At 49.2% G+C, this 6,831-nt stretch overlaps 1 pseudogene; it reads left to right on the forward strand.

Annotated features, from left to right (window-relative positions):
* On the forward strand, positions 5,809-6,831 carry TSEN15P1 (tRNA splicing endonuclease subunit 15 pseudogene 1; annotated as a pseudogene).

A 6,831-nucleotide genomic window follows, 5' to 3' on the forward strand; every position in this document is an offset into this window, starting at 1 on the left:
TTCCAGAGGGAGGCTCCTCCCTGAGGGCAGGGGAGCTTCCTTTCGGAGGAGAGGGCAGGCTCCTTCGCTGGGCAGAGCGGTGGTCTGGGCATTGCTGAAGCGGCCAGTGGAGACAGGGATCCCAGCCTTGAGATTCACCCTCTGCCTCCCATGGGAATCCTAAGTAAGAAAATGATGCTTCTGACTGACTGTCTGGCAGCCCCTGGTGAAGAGCTGTCCCTACCCACTCACCTCTGCAAATAGCAGAATGGCATATGGTGGCAGAAGGAAGGGTCCAGAAGGTAGTTCTTCTGCGGAATGACCCATGCGATGGGCTGCTCTGTGACGCATTGGAGTGGGGATCATTTCCTTGCAGTGGAGGAGTGGGTCAGAGGCCGGGCTTGTCACATGGAAGTCCCTCCTGGGGATGGGCCACTGACAGATCCCTCTGTAAACAGCATTTGCATCAGATTCACTGCTCCAGAAAGTGGGGATCAGGGTCCCTGAAGCCAAGGAGCAGGCATAGAAGAGGCCAGAGGTGACTGGCAGCATATTTGACAGGATGCATAAATCTTGTTAAATGGGAGAGAAGCCAAACACGCTGGCTTTGTATGGGCAATTTAGACCTTCCTAGGTCATTCCCTGCAGGGACTGCAGGCCTCAGTGTAGTCTCTGATCTGCAGCAGCTGCAACAGCATCTAGGAACTTGTTAGACTTACTGGTTTTCAGGTTGCTACTTAATCGGAAGTTCTTCAGGTGGGGCCCAGCATTCTGTGTTTTAACATGCCAAGGGGATTCTGACGCATGCTGAAGTTTGAAAGCCACCAGCATAGTGCAATATGAAGTAGGCATTATCATCAATCCCATCTCACAGCTGAGGGAACAGAAGGTCTGAGCCAGTTTTACCCCAAGTTACACAATTAATAGGAAAGACAACAAAATTAGGTGCAGCTGTGAATAACAAAAATCGAACTCCAGAGCACCATGAACTAAACAAAATTGTTTATTTTTCCTTCATGGTCCAAGATAGCTGCTGAAGCTCCAGCCGTTGTGTCCATATTCTAGGCAGCAAAAAGGAGGGAAAGGGCCAGGCGCAGTAGCTCACGCCTGTAATCCCAACACTTTGGGAGGACGAGGCAGGTGGATCACTTGAGGTCAGGAGTTCGAGACCAGCCTGGCCAACACGGTGAAACCCCATCTCCACAAAAAATGCAAAATTAGCCAGGCATGATGGCGTGCACCTGTAATCCCAGCTACTCAGGAGGCTGAGGCAGGAGAATTGCTTGAACGGGAGGTTGCAGTGTTGCAGTGAGCCAAGATCGCGCCACTGCATTCCAGCCTGGGTGACAGAGCGAGACTCCGTCTCAAAAAAAAAAAAAAAAAAAAAAAAAAACCACTGTGCTCCAGCCTGGGTGACAGAGTGACACTTTGCACTTTGTCTCAAAACAAAAACAAACAAACAAAACAAGTAAAGGGAGGAAGGTCCCACCCTGTCCCTGTAGGGGACACTTCCTAAAATTGTATATACGGCTTCAGCTTACATCTCATTGGCTGCAATTTAGTCAATTGCTTCACCTAGCAGAAAGAGAGGCTGGGAGAATAAAGTCTGGGTCCTAAGTGACTATGCATGCAGGTAAAACTTGGGGTTCTGCTGCTATAGAAGAGCCTCGATAATGGGGAACAACTAGGCAGTCTCTGCCGCAAGAGTGTATCTGAGAATCAACCCAGGGCTTCTAATTTCACCATCTGAAGTTATGTTTTTGTTTAAATGTTGTCTTTATCTTCCCCTTTTAGAAGTCCCACCAAAAGCAAGCCTTCTTGGAAGTCTTCTCCGTTGCTGCTGTCTCCCCAATGCCTAGAACGATGCCTGGCTTGTAGTGGTGATCTTTGCTTGCTATTGAATATACTACTTTAAAAATTAAATTAAATACCTCATGTGAGAGAAGCTTTTTCAGGGTCTGGCACATGGAAGGTACTCAGAATGTGGTTGCTGCTATGTATTTAAAGCAGTGCTTCCCAACAAAGCCCCGCTGGCCCCTGGCAAGGTTTACCTCTTAGACTCTCAATCCCACCACCACCGCCTGCCTGCATGTACAGACTTGCACACAAATCTTGGCCCTTTCATTGGACTTTAAGAATAATCAGTGCTGGTCAGGCGCAGTGGCTCACTCCTTTAATCTCAGCACTCTGGAAGGCTGAGGTGGGCGGATCACTTGAGGTCAGGAGTTTGAGACCAGCCTGGGCAACATGGTGAAACCCCATCTCCACCAAAAAAAAAAAAAAAATTAGCCAAGTGTGGTGGTGCATGCCTGTAGTCCCCAACTACTTAGGAGGCTGAGGCAAGTGAATTACTTGAACCTGGGAGGCAGAGGTTGCAGTGAGCCAAGTTTGAGCCACTGCACTCCAGCCTGGTCAACAGAGCAAGACTCTGTCTCAAAAAAAAAAAAAAAAAAAAAAAAAATCAGTGCTGTTTGATTGGGTCTGGAGAATGCAAGCCACAGCCCAAGTAAGCAACTAGATTGGGAGAGAAAATTCATCTCGCCATTTCTTGTACAAGCCTGGAAGTAGGCCTTAAGAACAAAGCTGGGCTCAGGCTGCCGTGATGGGGTGTCTGTCTATTCTGGCGTTTGTCATTTGAGCTTTTCCTTCGTAGGTGCAGCCTTCTTGGGTTCCAGGGACTTGGTGCCCTTACTTACAGCCCATTGGGTGCCTGCCCCTTGTCGCCAGTGTTCAGGTTTGTGGTCACCCCTATGTTGCCTAACTGGGTCAGGCTGGATGGAGCCGGGAGGGCTGTTTGCGTTGGCTGCTTTTCCCTGTCAACTGTCACACACGAATGCAGCCTCCAAAATTCAATTTAACATAAATCTTGCCATTTGGACCAAGGCAAGTGGGCCTTATTCAAATCCGAACAGTCTATTATTGAGCTCGGAAACAGACAATAGCTGATGCTGTGATGTTCAGTTGCAACTGCCCTAATTACAGACAAACACTAATTTCATAGGATTTTTTAGAGTGAAGCAAATCTTTTGAAAGAAGTGTCCTCATTTAAAAACTACAGATCGAGAGGGCTATGAGGGTTCATTTTATTTATTGATAATGTGGACTGCGTCAATTCCTGAATCTCATTTGTTCAAACTCCCAGGGCTGTTGTGAGGAGCAAAATGAAAATGAGGTAATGTTTGTGGAGGTCCCTAATGAAGAGCAAAGCAATCCAACAGCTATAGTAGTATTGTGCGTTCAACGCCCTGCACCTTGCAGCTGCGTCCCATTAACAATGACCTCTGAGCTGTGAGCTCCAGGGCCTCTCCCCTCACTCCGCGGGCCACTCTCCATGGGTCCCTCACCTCCAGCTTCCTCTTTCCTTGAATGTGGCTTCTCAACATTTGGGCCATGACTCAAATGTCACCTCGTTGAGGAAAAGGTGTCCAATCAGTACTTACTGTGGTGCTCCGCCCTGTGTCTTTCCGAGTTCTTAGTCCCATGAGATAATCTGATGCATTGGTTGGCTTGTTTTTAATCTCTCTTCTCCATGGGAGCACCAGCTCCATAAGGGCAGAGACCTTGTCTGTCTTGTTCACACCTGCATCTCCTGTGTCCAGAACAGTGTCTTGCACCTAGTAGAGATGGATGTATATTGATTGGGAGTTTGGCTTGGGGAGGAAAGGAGAAAGTGAACTGTTAAGAAATTAGGGCATTTAGCATTATCTAAGAAACTGAAGCAGTACCTGGGGTCCCTGAGTACCTCGAACAGGTGTGTGGTGTGGTACCTGGAGTCCCCAGGGCCCCTAAGTACCTGGAGCAAGTGTGTGGAGTGGTACCCAGAGTCCCTGGAATCTCTAAGTACCTGGAGCAAGTACATGGAGAGGTACCTGGAGTCCCAGAATCCCTAAGTACCTGGAGTAGGTGGGTGGAGCAGTACCCAGACTCCCTGGAATCCCTAAGTACCTGGAGCAGATGTGTGGAGTGGTATCTGGAGCAGGTGTGTGGCATGGTACCTGGAGTCCCTGGAATCACTAAGTACCTGGAGCAGGTGTGTGGCATGGTACCTGGAGTTCCCTGGAATCTCTAAGTACCTTAAGCAGGTGTGTGGCATGTTACCTGGAGTCCCTGGAATCCCTAAGTACCTGGAGCAGGTGTGTGGAGTGGTATCTGGAGCAGGTGTGTGGCATGGTACCTGGAGTCCCTGGAATCACTAAGTACCTGGAGCAGGTGTGTGGCATGGTACCTGGAGTTCCCTGGAATCTCTAAGTACCTGAGCAGGTGTGTGGCATGTTACCTGGAGTCCCTGGAATCCCTAAGTACCTGGAGCAGGTGTGTGGCGTGGTACCTGAAGCAGGTGTGTGGAGTGGTACCTGGAGCAGGTGTGTGGCATGGTACCTGGAGTTCCTGGAATCTCTAAGTACCTGGAGCAGGTGTGTAGAGTGGTACCTGGAGTCCCAGGATCCCTAAGTACCTGGAGCAGGTGTTATGTGAGAGATTTTGATACCCAAGAAGCTTACAGATTAATATAGTAATTTGCAGTATTCAAATAAGTGCCACTAATGTGTGAGGTGGCACGTGGTAGGAGCAGATGGTTATAAATACAGTAGGGGCTGCAGGGGACACACAGTTGTGGACACTGGAGCTATTCTTCTTGGAGAAGGGCATGGAGTTGCACCTCAGTCAGCAGTCTCCTCTGTCACCTCTGGCATTTTGCACCTGGCCTTCCATGGCTGCTGCCTGTCGCTGTTGGCTCTGGGCCCTTCCTTTGAGCAGCTGTTCCACAGTGGAGGCCCTGGTGCTGCCTCCACTCAGTCACACACTGTGTGTGGCCACAGCTGGCCAGGGTCCAGGCTGGACACAGCACCAACCAAGTGCTCTGTGAGGTCCGTCCTGCAAGACCAGAGCCGTCAGTGGGCAGGAGGAGGCCATGCAGAGGTGGCACTGGTACTGCGCTTTCATTTCAGTTTAGGATCCTCTTTGACATCTTTTCTTTTTGAGATGGAATTTTGCTGTTATTGCCCAGGCTGGAGTGCAATGGCGCAATCTCAGCTCACCACAACCTCTGCCTCCCGGGTTCAAGCGATTCTCCTGCCTTAGCCTCCCAAGTAGCTGGGATTACAGGCATGTGCTACCACGCCCAGCTAATTTTGTATTTTTACTAGAGAAGGGGTTTCTCCATGTTGGTCAGGCTGGTCTCAAACTCCCAACCTCAGATGATCTGCCCACCTCGGCCTCCCAAAGTGTTGGGATTACAGGCGTGAGCCACCGCGCCCAGCTACTCTTGACATTTTTTGAAAGAATGTTCTCTATCTCATTCTCACCCATATATCCCTTATGAGAGAAGCCAGGAAACCAGTTCTGAGGATGTCAGTCTGGCTAGTAAAACCCTGAGGATTCCATTTTCAAGGGTACCTTGACTGTTGTGTTCAAAGAAAGCTTTGAACAACAAATGTAAAAACCCTGCCAAGCCAAGTCCACCGAGTAGCTCATTAAAATGTATTTAGGTTGAGGCTTATTTTTTTAAGCTTACTTTATCAGAAAAAAAGAAATTGGATTTAGATACTAAGGAAGGCTTCTTGCACAGAGAGGGACGTCCGTTGTCTTAGTTCTATGATCTCGATGCTTAGACAGGCCGCTCACCCCAGCAGGGCAGAGTTGTTCTTATGTCCCAGGGGGGTCGCTGCAGAAGCTCTAGCAACTCTCTCCCTCCTTTCATCACCTCGGGCCTTCCTCGCCAGCACCTCCATTCCTAAGGCTCACGTGGGAGAGACAGTGTGGAGAGAAACAGAGACGAGAACAGGACTTCTTAAACAGCACCAGCAAGAATAGTCTTACAATGAAGTGTGCACCACGGGAGCGCCGCACCAGCCGGCATGGAGGAGCGTGGCAATTTCAAGCTGACCCCTGGCTGCAGTGGCCTGGGTCTGTGTGGCGTTCGCGGCTTTGGCGACTGCGGTGGAGCTCCCTCGTGGGTCCCCGAGGACGCCTGGATGGGCACCCACCTTAAATATTTAGAAATGATGAAATTAGGCTGGGTGTGGTGGCTCACACCTGTAATCCCAGGAGGCTGAGGCGGGAGGCTGGGAGGCTGAGGCGGGTGGATCACGAGGTCAGGAGTTTGAGACCAGCCTGAACAACATGGTGAAACCTCGTCTCTACTAAAAATACAAAAATTAGCTGGGCGTGGTGGCGGATGCCTATAATCCCAGCTACTCAGGAGGCTGAGGCAGGAGAATCGCTTGAACCCAGGAGGCAGAGGTTGCAGTGAGCTGAGATCGCACCACTGCACTGCAGCCTGGGCGACAGAGTGAGACTCCATCTCAAAAAAAAAAGAAATGATGGAACTAGACACAGAAGATGCCACCCATGTTTATATAGCATTCTTGGTTTATCTGGACCTCATAGAAAGCAAAACTGGCATGAACTAAACTGTGTCAGATTACCAGAACTCCAGCTCATCTGCCTTGTTGGTACTGAGATAGAAGAGGAGGGGTTACAGACTGTGGTGCCTACCCCCATCACTGCTTCCCTCAGCCATAACAGGATAAGGGAGATCTTGAAGGCATCTTGAAAATTGCCAGGTGATCCAGATTTGCTGATGTCTTTTACTCTGGCCATAATGGAGTCTGATTCTACAATAGTCTATTATAAACTTACTGATGGATTTATGCTGCCAGACCCTCAGAATATTTCTCTTAGAAGATGACATCTATGTTTCCTGATGCTTGTTTTATTCATACAAGATTGGATTTGAGACCCGTCAGACTGCTTTGTCTTTTATCTCAGAGATAGTCAGGGTTGACTTAGATAGTGAGGGTTGACTTCCCTATTCCATAAGGTTTTCATTCTGAAGAATAAAACTTCCCCAGG

The sequence above is a fragment of the Homo sapiens genome, chromosome 17, assembly GCF_000001405.40.
Source record: "Homo sapiens chromosome 17, GRCh38.p14 Primary Assembly".
NCBI lineage: Eukaryota > Metazoa > Chordata > Mammalia > Primates > Hominidae > Homo > Homo sapiens.